General features: G+C 47.6%; 1 protein-coding gene and 1 long non-coding RNA gene across 18 annotated transcripts in view, besides 1 other annotated feature; one reads left to right on the top strand and one right to left on the bottom strand.

Moving 5' to 3' along the window:
* WWC1 (WW and C2 domain containing 1) overlaps positions 1-17,648 on the top strand; it is a 180,659-nt gene that overhangs the window by 48,184 nt on the left and 114,827 nt on the right. The window lies entirely within an intron of this gene.
* Positions 7,795-7,844: a silencer, noted in NCBI's record as "silent region_16597". NCBI's record gives its function as "represses an Ori minimal core promoter by ATAC-STARR-seq in GM12878 lymphoblastoid cells {active_cell/tissue: GM12878}" and the evidence as "EXISTENCE:reporter gene assay evidence [ECO:0000049][PMID:35858748]".
* On the bottom strand, positions 10,316-12,304 carry LOC124901129 (uncharacterized). Its single transcript, XR_007059039.1, has 3 exons — positions 12,240-12,304; positions 10,515-10,571; positions 10,316-10,391 (listed from the first exon to the last, which is right to left on the bottom strand). It is a non-coding gene; the product is annotated as an uncharacterized LOC124901129 (long non-coding RNA).

A 17,648-nucleotide genomic window follows, 5' to 3' on the forward strand; every position in this document is an offset into this window, starting at 1 on the left:
TCTTTTTCTTTTCTTTCTTTCTTTCTCTCTTTCTCTCTCTCTCTCTCCCTCTCTCCCTCTCTCTCTGTCTCTCTCTCTTTCTCTCTCTCTCTCTCTTTCTCTCTTTCTCTCTCTCTCTCCCCCTCTCCCTCTCTCTCTCTGTCTCTCTTTCTCTCTTTCTCTCTCTCTCTTTCTCTCTTTCTTTCTTTTCTTTCTTTCCTTTCTTTCCTTTCTTTTCTTTCTTTCTTTCTTTTCTTTTCTTCTCTTTCTCTCTCTCTTTCTTTCTTTTAGATGGTCTCGCTCTGTCGCCTAGGCTGGAGTGCAATGGTGGAATCTCAGCTCACTGCAACCTCCACCTCCCGGGTTCAAGTGAGTCTCCTGCCTCAGCCTCCCAAGTAGCTGGGATTACAGGCATGCATCATCATGCCCGGCTAAGTTTTGTATTTTTAGTAGAGACGGAGTTTCCTCACGTTGGCCAGGCTGGTCTTGAACTCCTGACCTCAGGTTATCCACCTATCTCAGCCTCCCAAAGTGCTGCGATTACAATTCAACCATTTAAAGCTTACAATTAAGTGGCTCTTAGTATACTCAGAGTTGTGCAACCATCACCACAATCACTTTTATAATATTTTCATCACCTCCCCACAAAAAACTCTGCACCACTTAGCAGTCATCCCCCAATCTTCACTTCCCCCCAGCCCTAGACAACCACTAATATACTTTCTGCCTCTATAATTTTGCCTATCCTGGACATTTCATATAAACAGAGTCATACAATATGTGACCTTTTGTGTCTGGCTTCTTTCAGTGAGCATGATGTTTTCAGCTTTCATCCATGTTGAGGCATGTAGCAGTACTTCATTGCTTTTCATTGCCAAATAATATTCCATTGTATGGATATGCCACATTTTGTTTATCCATTCATCAGTTTGTGGATATTTGGGTTATTCTCACTTTTTGGCTATTATGAATGAATGCTGCTATGAACATTCACGTACAAACTTTTGCATGTACATACATTTTTCTTTCTTTTGGATATCTGGTAGGGACTATTTTTCTCCTTGTTTTACAAATAAGGACATTGAGGCACAGAAAGTTTAAGTTATTTGCCTGGGTCACACAGCAAATAAGTAACAGAGTCATAATTAGAACTCAGGTAGTCTGCCTCCAAAGTCTGTGCTGTTCATCAGTACCTCTCCTGAACGCTTCCTTATAGCAGCTACTGTGCCAGGAGCCAGAGAGACTGGGGAGAGCAAAGCAGACATGTCCCTGTCCTTGTGAAACTTACAGGGAGACCATGGCGCAATAATCGAAGACACGGGAAATAACTACCATGACAGCTGCGTTAAGGATTACAGTCGAGAGTTGCAAGGTTCTGGCAGGTAGACCAATGGGCTATGGGACTTGTCATCATCAGAGTGGCCAGGGAAGGAAAGCTTCCCTGGAGAGGAGGTGCTTGCTCTAAGATCTGTAGGACATGTAAGTGCTAACCAGGCAGAGATGGAGGAAAGCAGCAGCTTTAAAGGATGCAAGACTCGAGGGTGCGGCCAGTATAGTATGCAGGCTTCTGAAGTCAAGCATTTACTCATCTATTACTCAGCACCCCATAGGCACAAGGCTCCATGGATAATGGGTCCTAGGGACACTGCTAACTGAGAAAAATCTCTCCAGCCCCAGGCAGGAACACATCTTGCTGTCAGAGATCACTGATGTCCCAGTCTGAGAGACCCAAATTCCCATCCCTGCCTCTCATTTTCAACATCAAAAGGCTGCTATGCTTTAGATCTAAAACCCAGGATGGCATTTTTCATCTCCTCTCCTCTAGGTAGCTGGCCTTTCAAATGGGGGAGAATATCATTCCTCTTCAAAGCGGTGCAGGTGTCATTTGCTGATTTAAAAAAAAAAAAAAGATTTTGGAAAAAGTAAGGCCTGGGTCACCAGATACACACCTGCCAGGTGTTCAGATGCTGGTCCTTCCCTGGCCCCTTAAGTGAGCCATGAAAAGGACCTGGTGATTCACCCACAGATAACGGAAGAAAGTTCTGTTACCTCTTGATAGCAGCTTTTGTGTCCACCCCATTTCCCCAGGTGGGCCGAGAGCATTGGTAGCTAATTGTAATCACTCCACACAATTAGAGCTGTGCTGCCCCTTCCCCTAGCCAGTGGACTTCGGTACCCAGAGTGAAGCCTGCAGCCTGTGTCAGACACCAGCATGTGTAATGGGAGGAAACAGCTTCCATGTCCAGAGCGCTGGTTCCAAGGGCATCTTCAGGCACTGAAATTGGCACTGAATAGGCATGGGGAAGTTTCAGTGGAAGTGAATGGGGAGCACTGGGGGGACTTACTGAAAGACTTTCAGATACAGGGAGTATTTGACACAGCTCACCTCCAACTGGCCTGGTTTTATTCTGAATTGTTTGGAGCAGAGGAAGGGAGAGGGAAAACATAAAGATCAGGGTAATAGGTTCTAGGAGCTGACGGAGCTGATGGAGCTGAACAGGGTAGGGACCATGGAAGGTAGAGCTATTGCGCAAAAATTAGGCAGCCTCTAGGCAGGCAGGCACTTGGCTGGATCCAAGTGGCAGTGTTAGGTGCTGTGGGTGAATGCACACCCACAAGTATATGCACATTCCCTGCCTCCTGGAAGCTCACAGTTCAGCCAGTGATACATGTATAGAAGTTTGAAGCAGTAACATTAGATATGAGGTTGAATTCATGCTGACCGGATTTCTGTGGACTTCGTGGAGGCCCTGAAGGCTTTGTAGGATCTAGAAAGGCAGAAACAGATGTGGTGGGGGATAGGTTGAAGAGTCGTGGATGACTCACTAAGACATTGAGGTGGGAAGGTATGCAGGGACTATACCACACTGTGTGGAGGAGGGGGTTCATGGAAAGGGTAAGAACTCCCAAAGGGTAGATGAAGAGCCATGAAGACCCAGCTAAGGAAACCCATGAATGACTGGGATCCACTGGAAAGTCTTGAGCAAAGAACCGGAGGATGCAAGTGCTGCAGAGAACAGACCCCATACTGTGGACGGATTGAGAGCACAGTGGGGGCCCCTCAAGCTGTTCCACACTCTGGGCAGTAGGGTTTATCCAAGTGCCCACCACCAAGTATCTGGGCACTAGGCAGGGAGCAAGGGGTGTTTCCAGTTCCAGTGTTAAAAAATTCCATCCAATTTGTAGGTTCCAAGGAAGGATTGGGCTCCCAGAAGCTTGGAGTTCTTGTTTTATGACCACCATCCAGCCCTAAGAGCCTGGGGGGTTTGTATGCATTTTCATTGCGCAGATGGACCTCCCAATTTTCTCAACTTTACTTCCCTTTCACATTTGCACAGACCATATAATCATGGTTTTAAAGGTCATAAAGTTCACTGTGCTAGGAGATACAGAAATACTTTCTTGATGACGGGGCCAAACGTTCATTAAGTGCTTTCATGTGCCCTGCATTTGAATTTATTCATGATAGCTTCAACATTCTGAGTGTTTACTGTGGGGCAGGCACTGTGCTAACTGTGTATTATCTTGTATACTTTTCAGGACAAGTGAAAGTGATGACCCCATTTAATAGATGAAGAAAACTGACACTCAAAGAAGGGAAATAACTTGCCCAAGATCACAGAGCTCAGGTTGGCTGGACTCTAGGACATCCCATGCCTCCACACCATGCTGCTTGTCAGCAGCAGCACGCAGAGCTGGTTGCAAAGGAGGGGCTGACATATATTAAGAGTTGAGGCCGGGCGTGGTGGCTCACGCCTGTAATCCCAACACTTTGGGAGGCCGAGGTGGGCGGATCACAAAGTCAAGAGGTCAAGACCATCCTGACCAACATGGTGAAACCCCGTCTCTACTAAAAATACAAAAATTAGCTGGGCGTGGTGGCGTGTGCCTGTAATCGCAGCTACTTGGGAGGCTGAGGCATGAGAATCACTTCAACCCAGGAGGCGGAGGTTGCAGTGAGCTGAGATCATGCCACTGCAGCCTGGGCGACACAGTGAGACTATGTCTCAAAAAAAAAAAAAAAAAAGTTGAACTTTTGCTTCTGGGATGTTTATGTTTTTTCCTAGTCTTCAGGGGTTCAGGGCTCTCAGATGTCTCCCCCACCATACCTCCACTCAGTCTTCCACTGATGACATTTCTTAATAATTCACGTGCTTCCCCCTCGGCTCAGTTACACATTGGAGAACACTGCTGCATCTGAACCACTGTAGCTGACAAGCTATCATGCAGCTCACCCAAACAGCAGCTTGCAAGGCCTATCCATTCTGAACATTTGGAATGGAACTCTTCTGATCCTTATTTTCCACCTAGAACAGTCATAATGGGGCAATGGGAATGTATTGATTGTCACTGTTTTGCTTGTATACCTTGGACTGTTTCTGCAAAAGGAGATATGTTTGAGTGTTTTAAGGCAGCCTTGCAGATAGCTTCTAAAAAGAATTCACTGGCCTGAAAAAATGATTCCTAGCCTGCAGAACTTTCATTTGTCTTCCCTGTGCTTGAGAGAGTTGGGTAGCCCACAGGAAAGAACAAGTGGTGAAAACCTGGCTTCTAATCCTAAAGCTTCCAACAGCGAGTTATGGGGTCTTGGGCACATTCTTTACATTTCAGGCTCGGTTTTCTCATCTGTAGAATGTGAGTGTTACTTTTCTCCTCCAGAATTGTCCTGTGGGTCAAGATGAGATAGCAGATGTCATAAGAGCTTTGTAAGCTACAAAGTAGATGTATATGTGTGGGATAATAGTACACAGTTTCCTGAACTAACTCATGGAGTTCTTGAAGACATCAGATGAAACAGTAGATGGGAAAATTCTGTGAAGGGAAGAAACTCTGAGCATCTCTGAAGCAGGTGCTCTTGCTCAAGCCTTAGCATTGCGTCTGTCACAGCAGGAAGCAGGGGCTGCTTGACAAAGCAGTGCAGGGGGTTCATATTCCAAGGGGAGGTTTTATTTAGAAGAGAAATTACTTAAAATAGAAGTCAAACATTTATAGTAAATATTGGGGGGAAAAGATTTGATCAGGCCTTCATTTTGAGAAATGAAACTAAAAATTTTAAAGTATATTTATACTGTATTTAACAACATACTGCAACCATGCCCCAGTTCTTAGTTTGAACAAAGTGTTGATTTATTTTTTGTGTAATTATTTGGAGACAATGAGAATAGCAGAAAAGGACATTTTTCTCTTCTCGTTTGACTTTCCCACCAGGCTCATAAGGAAGGTCATTTTTACAAAATATTGAAGGTTTTATCTGTTTTCCTGTGGCCTTGTTTAACCCCTTGGTATCACTGAAATCCTTCTCTTTTATTATTTTATTTTTAGAGGTTCACTCTGTTGCCCAGGCTGGAGGGCAGTGGTGCAATCTTGGCTCACTGCAGTCTCCACCTCCTGGGTTCAAGCTGTTCTCCTGCCTCAACCTCCCAAGTAGCTGGGATTACAGGCATGCACCACCATGCCTGGCTAATTTTTGTATTTTTAATAGAGACAGGGTTTTGCCATATTGGCCAGGCTGGTTTCGAACTCTCGACCTCAAGTGATCCTCACCTCCCAAAGTGCTGGGATTACAGGGGTGAGCTACCATGCCAGGCCTGAAATCCTTCCCTTTTAAAGGGCCTGTTGTCTCTTCTTCTTTATCTTAATGGATTTTCTCCTTTTCAGTTGTTACCTGAGTAACTCAGCCATTCCTTGGGTGTGATTGAGTAGTTATTCAACATGACATTCACAAACTTCATGAAATCCTGCCTCTTTTAGAATATTAGTGATTTCCCTTGCAGTTGACTTGGATTGTACTTGCATTGCTTTGTCAGATGCTAAGACATCCAGCAGACCCATAAAGATGTTGACAGTAAATACTGATGGCATGGACTAGACACTAATGTTAAGTGGGGAGCAATATTTGTATAGGCATTGATTTTATTATAAGTACTCAATTCATGGGTTAATTTTTTAACTCAGCTCATAGTTTTTATATTTTGATGACTCTTATTTCTCTAAGTGATCATCTAAGTGCAGGAATCAAGATACATATCCAGTCATTGACTTTCCCCTGATTAAGAGAGCAAGCTGTGGAGTCAGAGTGGCTGGGTTAGAATCCCAGCTTCTACTTGTACAATCTGTGTGACCCTTGATAAGATAATTAAATTATTGGAGTCTCAGTCTTCCCCAGTGCGAGCCTGCGGGGACCCTGTGTGGTGAGAGAGGCTCTGTCCAACACCACCAGGGCAGGGAGAAACAACTGGCCCCATTTCATAACAGAATCAGATGGCCCAGGAGGGACCCCCAAGAGTGTTTGATTGGGATGCCCAGCCCTGGCTCTCCCTCCACCTGAAGCCCACCGAGATTAATCGGGTACCTATGTCTGATGTCGAAAGGAAGGAGAAGGGTTTGCTGAGGACTGATCTCAGCAGGTCTGAAGTTAGGCTGAAAATCTGTGTTTTGCAAGTATAAACACTGTAAGGAGATACAAGATACTTAGGAAAGCAGGGAGCAGCCCAGAGTGCGAGCCCAGTGTCACAGACTCAGAATGATCCAGGAACCATACAGGGAAACAATGCCCGCAGAAAACAGCAGCTGCAGATGTATTTCCTCCCCTGCTCAGCTCCTCCTGCCCTGCATGAGCAAGACCCTAAGACCCTCAAGAGACCCTCAGAAAATCTGTCCAGTGCCCCAACATCAGAATGAAGGCATCTGGGGAACAGGTAGAAACACAGTGCCTGACACACCGATGCCCTTAGTAGGCGTGCCTGAAATGCTTGTTGAGAAAATAAATGCATGCAGAATACAAGACTCATTTGAATACCTCCTGTTTGACTAGGAGCAGAGGAATTCAGGTGAGCCATTGTTGAGAAACCTGTATGACTAGTTAGAATTAGTTAAAAAGTAAAAGCCGGGACCTCCCAGGGCCCATGCTTGGTATGCTGTGAGTGAGATTGTTCTGTAAGTTGGTGGTGGCTTAGAAATGATTGACAGACATGTCTTATTTTTTAATGTGACAATGGATGTTTGGTTCCATGTAAAACAATTAGAGGAGGAGCCGTTTGGTTGGTGTCAGGCACTGTGTTTCGACCTGTTTCCCAGATGCCTTCATTCTGATGTTGGGGCACTGGACAGATTTTCTGAGGGTCTCTTGAGGGTCTTAGGGTCTTGCTCATGCAGGGCAGGAAGAGCTGAGCAGGGGAGGAAATACACCTGCAGCTGCTGTTTTCTGCAGGCATTGTTTCCCTGGATGGTTCCTGGATCATTCTGAGTCTGTGACACTGGGCTCACACTCTGGGCTGCTCTCCACTTTCCTAATAGGGTCCTTGGATGTCACCCCCAGACGTTGGCAATGTCCCCAGCCGACTGAGTGACAAGGGTCCTCCTCAGAGGCTAAAGCCAGCATCTCTCCAGTTCAGTTGCCCTGACTGTAGATGGGTGCTGTGTCCTGGGGCCTGGGATGCCCTGAGTTCTCGAGTTAACCGCTGTCAGTCATGTGCCCTCCAGGGCAGACCTCAAGAAGGAGGCAGTTCCAGGGATACTGCTTATTCAGCTCACCAGGCTCGCAAGGGTCTCTTCCCTACTTCCGATCCACCTTCAGTTGATCACCCTGGCCTTGCCTGGAGAGGGAATTTGAAATTCTGTGCCCTAATCCTGACTGCTTCTCTAGGATTTCTTTGGACCTTTCGTTGAGATGCTGATATTGAAGAAAAGGTCGTGTGAAGTCCATGCTCACCCTGTTAAGAAGTGTTTGTGGGTCCCCTGCTAAAGCAGAACTGAAACCCTGTTTCTGTCATTCTGTCAGCTCGTGGCCTCAACTGGGCACAGCGCTTGGGTTCCCTCTTGTACCCTCCCTCTTGGTGTAAGGGATGGCCCTGAAGAAGGTGAAGAGCAATCTATGTGATGATCTATTTCATTTATTAGCCCGAGTGAAATTGGAGGCCTCTTTTCTTTTACAGAGTCATTGTCGAGCAAGGTCAGTCCAAAAAAAAAATCCCTATATATTTATGATTATGTATCAAGAATGATTCTGTCCCCTGGGTATACTGCAGTGCTCTAAACAGTCCTGATCGCTGCCCTTGCAGAGGTCACTATCTCCAGAGAAAGAATGTAAGTCATTGTGAAGAGCTGGGAAGGAGAAGCAGATGGGCTGTGGGCTTATCAAGCTGGGATCTGCCCTGTTGGAAGGGTCAGAGGAGTCATGCTCAGGAGATGGCAGTGTGACTATTAGAGATTTCTGCTATGATAACAGAGTATTGAGCACCTGTTGTATGCAAGCACTGTGCAAACACCTGGCATACCTGAGCTCCTTTATTCCCGAGATGGGTGTTACTGGCAGCCCCATTTGACAGGTTGGGGGATGTGATGTGCACCGTTTCCTGAAGGTGGCCAAGAGAAGTGATGTGCACCGGCCACACAGCTGGCAAGTGGCAGAGCTGGTTCCTGAGCTCAGGGGACGTGACTGTGATGTGTGTGCACGGGTGTGTGCACAGGCTCAGGTAGGGTGAAGCTCAGGGAGACCCAAGCCCTCACCCTCACCCTCTCTACTGTTTTCCTGCCAAGGAGGGGCACATCCTCAGGATGTTTGCAGGCTTTATTCTGCCTGGGCAGTGACCCAGGCTCCTTTAATCCACAGCCGGATGGGAAGAGCTGCTGGCAGAGGGAAGGGCCACACATCATTGTCCCTCTCCCTGAAGCATACCTCTCAAGAAGTTCCGGGGTGGGGTGGAAGCTTGGCTGTGAGCACAGGCCTCCCTTTATCCCACCTTGACCTCAGGTGGGCCAGAGGAGAGCCACACACATTTGCCAGCTGGGGGTGCGGCCATCACAAACAAGGACTTCTCCAAGGAGGAAATACAAAGGTGCCATCCGGAAAAGATCAAGGAGTAGTTGTCCAGGCAGGGTCTGCTGGAGAAATACAAAGAAAGAAATTATCAGCCTAGGAAAGGGCCCTAGCAGAGCCATCCTGAAGGTAGCCCAGAAGGAATTTGATTGGGGTGGGGCCAGGGGTATCCAGCCCCCACACTGCAGCCTGGGATCTTTGCTTGAGGGTGTGAGAAGAAAGGGGTTTCCCTTCTGATGGAAAAGTTCCTGAGTGGTCTGAAAATTCCAAAGCTAACACATGTCAGCTGCTTTCAATATGCTAGACATAATGCCTACTGCTGTACACACGTCATCCTATAAACCTCCCCACAGCTCTGTGAGGTGGGGATGATTGTTATCCCCATTTTACATAGGAGGAAACTGAGGCACAGCAAGGTTAATACGCCCGAGATTCAAGAGCTGGCAGGTGACAGAGCGAGTTGTTGAATGGTCATGGCCGAGTCCCTTCTGTTCCCTGTGCGTCAATTTCCCCATCTCCACAATGAGATGACCAGACACAGTGATTTCTAAAAGTCCTTTCATTACCGAATTCCCATGATTGTGTCCCAGAGACCTGTAAGGTCATTCAGCCATGCAGGTGTAGGCCTCTTGGGCACGTGGGTTTCTGACACCCCCACCCAGTTCTCTTCCCACCCCTCTGACACGCCTGTTTCTCAGCAAGCCTTCTGAAATCTTTTGTATATGACACCCCCCACCTTATAACTATAGAAAGGTTTTGTTTGTTTTTTAATGCTTTCCAGCTTTGGGCTCAGGAAATCCCTTCTTTTCTTCCCTGTAAAAGATTTCTTCCTTCCATCCCACTCTCCAGGGCCTCATCCTGGCCAAGCAGCCTCACCCTCTCCTTCAGCACAGCCCTGCAGGCTGGCTCTGTCACCTTCTCATATTTACTGAGCATCTGTAACAAGGACTTGCTCAAGGGCACACAGTCGGTAAGTGGCCACGTCAAGCTGGTACCTACATTGTGGTCTGCTGTTCAGCACACAGTAGGTCCTCAGGAGTGCTTCCTTCTTTCTCCGTCATTTGACTGGCTCTCCTTCCCTTTGCTTCTGTTTGCAGATAGAAGGTAGAGTGGGGCTGGGAGTGGGGTTGGCTGCCGTGGGCCACTGGGCGGGAGGCTCACAGCCCTTCCTGTTTTTGGAAGAATTGGTCTGGAGCAGCAGCTCCACCAACCCCAGTTCTGTGACCAACAGCGGCCTCTTAAGTAACCGTTTGTTTCCTCAAAATAACACTCCACCTTTCACCTAGCAAGAAGGATGGTTATCTGCATGGGTGCCATCTTTCTGGGCCCTCCAAATGCGGACAGCTCACCTTTGCTGCTAAAAACACCTGCTTCACCTCCCAGCTCCAGGTCATTCCTCTGAGATCTTATGGAAAAGCTCTCAGCTAAATTGGACATTAAATACTAGAGGAATGGATTGGTTCACATACTGGGAAAGTCCAGAGGTCACTGTTCAATGCAGGGCTCCAGTTGTATCATCAGGTCTTAGTTTCTCTCCTCCTGACTCTGCCTGCTGCTGTATCGGCTTCGTTCTCAGTTTGCACATGATGATCTTCTAGGATTGAAGAAAAATGCAAAAAGAGGTCTCTCTTATTCATGGCTCAGATGGAAGTCCTGAGGTTGACTTTTACTAGTCCATAGTGGGTTGTGCAGGAATGATTTAAAATCAACTGCTCACCAAAGCACGTGGATGGAGAATCTTTAGAGAGGTGGGTTCCTCAGGAAATTTGCAATGCTGTCACCAAAAGAGGCAGAAATGGGTGCTTGGTGGCAGAAATCCAACAACTGTTCTCCATCCCTTCCTCTGCTGGTCCCCAGGTCACAGTCCAGGAGGCTATTTGGCGTGGGTCACGAGGGTGCTTGGACTGAAGTTGAGCATGCCTCTTCTGGACTGGCTCTCCCTTGGCTCCCTACTCTTAAACATTGTTCTGTTTTTCTCCACCCCAACATAAAGGGCATCTGGCCAAGGGCAGGACAGGAGGAAAAGGACGTGGAAGAAAGCCTATTGTTATCATGATCATTCACTCATTCATTCATTCATTCTTCTGCTCAACTATGTGCTTAATAAATGTTTATTGAGCATCTAAGACATTGCAAACAATGAGCTAAATGAGGGTTTCCAAAACTTCAGTCACTGGTGCACCCTCTTCCCAATTTTTGCCAATAGAAGTAAAATGATGTTACCAATTCCCAGCTAGAGGCTGGGCGCGGTGGCTCACGCCTGTAATCCCAGCACTTTGGGAGGCCGAGGCGGGCGGATCATTTGAGGTCAGGAGTTCAAGACCATCCTGGCCAACATGGTGAAACCCTGTCTCTACTAAAAACACAAAAAATTAGCCGGGCGTGGTGGTGCATGCCTGTAATCTCAGCTACTTGGGAGGCTGAGGTAGGAGAATTACTTGAACCTGGGAGATGGAGGTTGCAGTGAGCCGAGATCACGCCACGGCACTGGAGCCTGGGCAACAGTGAGACCTTGTCTCAAAAAAAAAAAAAAAAATCCCAGCTAGATAGCCCATGGGAAGGCAATGAGCCTAGGGTCCAATCTCTCTTAGTTAACAAAGGAGCCTGGCAGAGGTTGGAGTAGTTAAAGACACAGTAGCTCCAGACTGTAGACTCTACTCTTGATTGAATCTGAAAAGCTGAAGGGTAATTGAAAAGGGAATAGCATTTTCCCTGAGAGATCCAATGTTTTTTCCTGCCTTGCAAGTGCACCTCATAAAGTCATCCTGTGTGCCACCAAAAGGCATCATATACACATGGGAAATGTATAATACTCATGGAATCCAGAAATGAATCCAACTCGGACCTTGTCTCGAAGCGACTTCCACTCTAGGAGGCGAGAGAAGAGCAGGATACAAATGAAAGTGCCATGAGTTAGGATATGATGGAAGGAGGGGTGCAGGTGAAGGGCTGTGGGAGATGAGAAGAGGTTGCTCTCCTGGGGCCTGGCAAAGGCTGCAGGTGGGAGACAGTGTTTGCAGCAGGCCTGGATGCCTGCGGAGAATTTGACTTCCAGAGAAAGGGATTGGGCAGCCCAGGCAAAGAGGAAACGAGAAAGACCAGGGAGGTTGGAGGTGGGTGGAGAACAGCAACCAGTCCTGTCGCAGCCAGGCTGTTTCTGCACCACGTGCCGCCTGCCCACTCTGGGTGTCTTGTTTATCCTTGGATCCTAATGGTGGTGTTGAGTAGACTCCACTCAGAACTGAGACGGGTGTCTGCCTAGGGACTGGCTGCTTCTCTGCACCCTCTCCACCCAAGACACACTTGTTTGCCCCACGTTCTCTGTGCAGTAACCCTCCCGTGGCAGCTGATGTGGTAGAAGCAGCAGATTCCGATCTCAGAGCTGCCCTTTGCTAGCTGTAGGACCTGCTGTCCCGTTCCTTAGAGGTCACTGAGCACCTACCTCAAAGGGCGGTCAGGAGCATCCAATGAGACAAGGCCTGGCCCATGGCAAGAGCTCAATTAACATTAACACGCACGAGTCTTGAATACTGTCCACATGTGCTTATTGAGGCCCTCTTGGCTTCTCAAGCTTTCTGAGCCTTAGTGTCATCATCTGAAAAATGGGATGTCCGTATCAGGTGGTCAAATAATGTTTACAAAGTGAGAACCACTTAGTATGTCTTTGGCAAATATTTCCTTTGCCTGGGTGGCTTCTGCTGTGCTTCAGGTTTATCCAGTAATTATTCAAATATCATTCATTGAGCTCTGCACTTTTTCCTGATACTCCACAAAGTATTGATATTGTTGTTCCTGTTTTATTAATTGCATGGTGCATGGTGATTAGGAGCTTAGAACCCTGAACCTATTTGCCTGGATTCAAATCCCAGCTCTGCCACCTTCCAGCTGCAGGACCTAAGGCATGCGACTTGACCTCTCCATGCCTTAGTTTTCATCTGAAATGAGGATTATATATATATAATTTTTTTTTTTTTTTGAGATGGAGTCTTACTCTGTCACCCAGGCTGGAGTGCAGTAGCATGATCTCGGCTCGCTGCAACCTCTGCCTCCCAGGTTCAAGCAATTCTCCTGCCTTAGCCTCCAAAGTAGTTGGGATTACAGATGCCCACGACCTTGCCCAGCTAATTTTTGTATGTTTAGTAGAGATGGGGTTTCACCATGTTGGTCAGGCTGGTCTTAAACTCCTGACCTCAAGCAATCCACCCACCTCGGCCTCTCAAATTGCTGGGATTACAGGCATGAGCCACTGCACCCGGCCTGGATAATAATTTTCAATTATACAAAATAGTACCATCTCACAAGATTGCTGTGGGGATTAAATGGAGTTAATATGGGTAACTCTTAGGTCAATGCCTATTGCATAGTAATACCCTGTAAATGAAAACTATGATTGTTGCTATCATTGTTACTAATGAGGTGAAGTTACTTCATTGGCTGAACTCCAATTCGAACCCGGACCTGCATACTCCAAAGCCCACGTTCCTTCTACCCCACAGATAGCCTCCCTCCCACTCTGAACCCCTTTTTGTGTATTTTGGGTCCTTCCAGGGGGCCTGGGAAGGTCCCCACACTCCCCTCAGCAGGTTACTCACCTCCCACCCCACATTCCCTAAGAGAAGGCCATGACTGACCTTCCCCCTACTCCCTAGGCTTTCCTGGAGGTACCCTGTGACCTGGCCTGGCTCTTCCTTCCAGACTTTTCTTCCAGTCTCATGCTGTCCTTCCAGACCCTGAGGCAGTCCTTGCCCTTTGCATGTGAAGTTCTTAAGTAAAGAGACAAGATGCTACTAGTGTGCAAACACGCGACAGCCCTGCCCCTGGCATCAGCCACTCCTGGCATCAGCCTGCCGTCGTCTTGCCAACCCTCCACCTCTCTCAGGCCTCCTGCTGCCCCTCAATGGCATGCCAGCCTCTGTCCTTCTCATCTCAACCCCAAAGAGTTAGAGTTGCTGTCCTTCCTTCACCTGACGCCCAGGGAGCCTTTGCACCTGGACCATGATCTAGAGGGCTGTTCCTCCATCACTCGCTGTGTGCCGTCAGGCCAATCAAGCGCTTCTTGAAGCCTTAGTGTCCTCCACTGTGTAGTGTGTGGTTGGGAAGGTTAAATGCAAGGTCTTATTTATTTGGCCCGATCACTGCCAAGTCAGGGCCCAAGCTACTTCCTGCTTCCTCTACAGAACCTCCTGGGAGTAGTCCAGCATGCACGGATTTCACCTTTCTGGGAATCCTGTGTCGCCTGTTGTGAAAGTTTCATTTGGAACGATGTCTTCATTCCTCCATATACATGATCATGGATGAATGAATAGTTTGTGTGTTTACTTCCAGCTGGGTTTAAGTTCATACTTGGTGCTGGACATACAATAGCTCTGAAAAGATATTTGGAAATAAGCTTAGGCTCTTCCAAAAATGAGTGCTTTTTCTTTTTTTCTTTCTTTTTTTTTTTGAGATGGAATCTTGCTCTGTCACCCAGGCTGGAGTGCAGTGGTGTGATCTCGTCTCACTGCAATCTCTGCCTCCTGGATTCAAGCGATTCTCCTGCCTCAGCTACCCGAGTACTTGGGATTATAGGTGCCTGCCACCACTCCCAGCTGTTTTTTGTATTTTTAGTAGAGATAGGGATTCACCATGTTGGTCAGGCTGGTCTCAAACTCCTGACCTCAGGTGATCCGCCCCCCTCGGCCTCCCAAAGTGCTGGGATTACAGGCGTGAGCCACCGCACCCGGCCTGAGTGCTTTTTCATTTTTTGTTTTTTAATATTGATGCACTGGAATAGAATTAAATCAGGGGCTCATTGTTGAATCTTTTCTCATTGGCTGTATTTTCATTAAGGAAAAGCAAAATTTAAACTATTTGGATACTTTTTAAAATATATTTTAGCTAATTTACTCCTCCATTCTATCTTTTTGGGGAACCTGGGATATGCCTAGCACTAGTGCTGTCCTAGGTACAAAAGTCATGATGCCTGCAGTTTATAAGACCTTTGAATGTTTGTCATGGACCCAATTCCCGGGTCTGACTTGCCAGTCTAGACATCTGTGTATTCCATTCCACTGGTAAGTTTCTCCTTTGTGGACCTGCCTTAGTTCCATCATTTCAGTCTTCCCAGGGAGGGTTCTCAGGGCCCGTTCTTTGGTCATTTCCAGTTTGCTGTGGGGTGTGTAGAGAGCATTGAGCTTCCAGAGTGAACAGTTTTGTGGCCTGCAGCAGGCCCTGGAGTAGGGCTATATGCTCTGTATCCCTGGAAGTCTTTGTTAGGCTGGCTTTGTAAGCAATAGGCTCAGGGACTTTGCTTCAGGAGGTAAAAAGCAAGACCAAAAACGCCCCCAAAGTTTTCCTCTTAGAGAGGAGGAGATGGCCACAAGCCTTCTGCTATGTTCATTCAGCAGATATTAGGGAGCCTCAACTCTGCCAGGGCCTGTGTTTGGTCATAGGAAGACAATGGTGAACTCTGCAGGTGTGACTCTGTTGGAATGGGAGAGACAGACAGTCAACATATCAACACACAAATACAGTGACAGAAAGTAATTGGGGGAGGGTGGCACTCAGTCAGGCCTGCCCAGGAAGGCCTCTAAAAAACAGCATTTCAGGCTGGGCGTGGTGGCTCACGCCTGTAATCCCAGCACTTTGGGAGGCTGAGGTGGGCGGATCACCTGAGGTCAGGAGTTTGAGACCAGCAGAGCCAACATGTTGAAACCTCGTCTCCACTAAAACTACAAAAATTAGCCGGGCATGGTGGTGGGGGCCTGGAATCCCAGCTACTCAGAAGGCTGAGGCAGGAGAATCTCTTGAACCCGGGAGGTAAAGGTTGCAGTGAGCTGAGATCGCGCCACTACACTCCAGCCTGGGTGACAAGAGTGAGACTCCGTCTCAAAAAAAAAAAAAAAAAAAAAAAAACAGCATTTCAACTGAGAGCCAGCCATGCAAAAAGTGGACAGGTGTGTAGACAGGGACAGGTAACTGTCCCAGGCAGCGAGACCTGCGGGAGCAAAAGGCTCTGAGGTGGGAATGAGGTTACTGCATTCTGAGTATTGAGAAAGGTGAAGCTGGAGGAGCAGGTCAGGGGCAAGGAGTTCTATTCCATCCTGTTTTGGTGGTAAGACTTTGAAGGGGTTGGAGCAACCGAGTGACAAGACTGGATTAATGTGTTGTTGTTTTTATTATGGGGGTGGGTAAGGGAGTGAACAGGAAGGAGTGTAGGTAGAAAAACTGAGAAAATAAACAGCTGGAGAAGTGAGGAAAGGGTGCTGCAAAGTGGGGAGAGAAGGAGAGAGGCAGAGAGGGAAGGAACAAGAGAGAGAAAGAGAGACGGGGAGCCAGAGAGACGGAGAGAGATGTCAGTGATTCTCTTGGGGGGGCTGTGATGAGAACAAGCTATTGTGATTTAGGGGCTTCTGGAAAGCCCCAGGTGAAGGTTCAGTCCATGGCCTGTGAACACACAGAGCATGGGGATCGGTTCTCCCATCTAGGTAGGACATGGAGAGTGAACAGCAAGGGAAGGATCTTGGTTCATTGTCTGGTGCTCTACCCAATTCATGGCAGAATCCTGCCGCATGATTTCTGCCGACTAGATTCATTACGTCGCTGAAGAGCGTGTTTATTGTAAGGCTTCATTCTGGAGAGAAAGTAGCAGGAAGCAAAGGAATGCACACTTCTTGAGTCCTGTTCAGTTCCAGGGAACATGCCGATGCGGCCGGAGGCCCATGGAGGCAAGGTGTCTGGCCCAAGCTCTCACGGCTGTGAACCTGGGTCCCTGGGGTTCCAAAGGCTTTGCCCGCTCCCCTGGCCTCCAGGCTCTTATGTGTTGGTGTCCATAGGAAAAAAGGTGTCATACATCGGTGTCAGGCAAGAGTCTTCCAAGTCAGCTGAGCTGGGAGAATTCCCCGGCCCACACCCTGCTCTGATCTGGGAATCGAATGTGATAATGGAGTCAACCTTGTCTCTCAAATCACTGAAACCTGTAGACAATCCACAAGGATCCTTTCTACCTTAGTGTCACCTTCTTCCCCCAGGACTTTCGAGTAGAGCTATCCAAGGGCTGCAGAATGCACATGCCAGAGAGAGCTGGCTTCTTCATGATGATGATTATACTAATTAAAATGAAACAGGAGTAGGAGACAGAGGCCTTGTTTGCTACCCAGTGGGTTATGCATTCCCAGGGGAAGGGAATTGGCTCTTGTCGCGCTTCTCCAGTTACCAGCTGGGAATAAGGGAAGCCCATGGAGACGGTTCCTGGTGGAGGAGATGGAGCAGTGGGCCAAGGCTCAGGTGGCTCATATCCAATAATCCTGGCCCTACCTAGGGCCCTGGGAGCCCTGTCAGTTGTGGGAAGTCTCTGAGTGTCATCTGTAAAACAGGGAAATAATCATGATGGTCATGATGCCACTGTTGTGACGGTTATTTGAGTATCAAATAAGGTCAAGAATCCAAAAGCACCTTGAGGACCTTAAATGTTTCTTCAATCACAAGTTTCTCTTTGTTGGGACAAGCAAAATTTGGAAAGTAGAGGGCCTAGCTGTGAACCCTGCTGGGAATTCCAATGAGATCTTTCTTTCTTTGTTCTTTTGTGAGTTCATTTATTCATTCAGTGAACATTCATTTGGTGCCCACTCATAAGATGCTGAGGTTACAACTGTTAATAAGATATTAAGATACTGTCTTTTTCTTCCTCTTTCTCTCTTACACACACACACACACACACACACACACACTTTTTGGGCCAACTGGAAATTCATACATTCTCCCCAGCACTGGAGCTCAAAGCGTCTGCCAACCTGTGGGTTTCTTTTCCGTGTGGTTCACCATCTGGAGTGGCAACCTGCCTTCTGTGTGTGTGTGTGTGTGTGTGTGTGTG

Source organism: Homo sapiens, chromosome 5 (genome assembly GCF_000001405.40).
Source record: "Homo sapiens chromosome 5, GRCh38.p14 Primary Assembly".
In the NCBI taxonomy this organism is placed as follows: domain Eukaryota; kingdom Metazoa; phylum Chordata; class Mammalia; order Primates; family Hominidae; genus Homo; species Homo sapiens.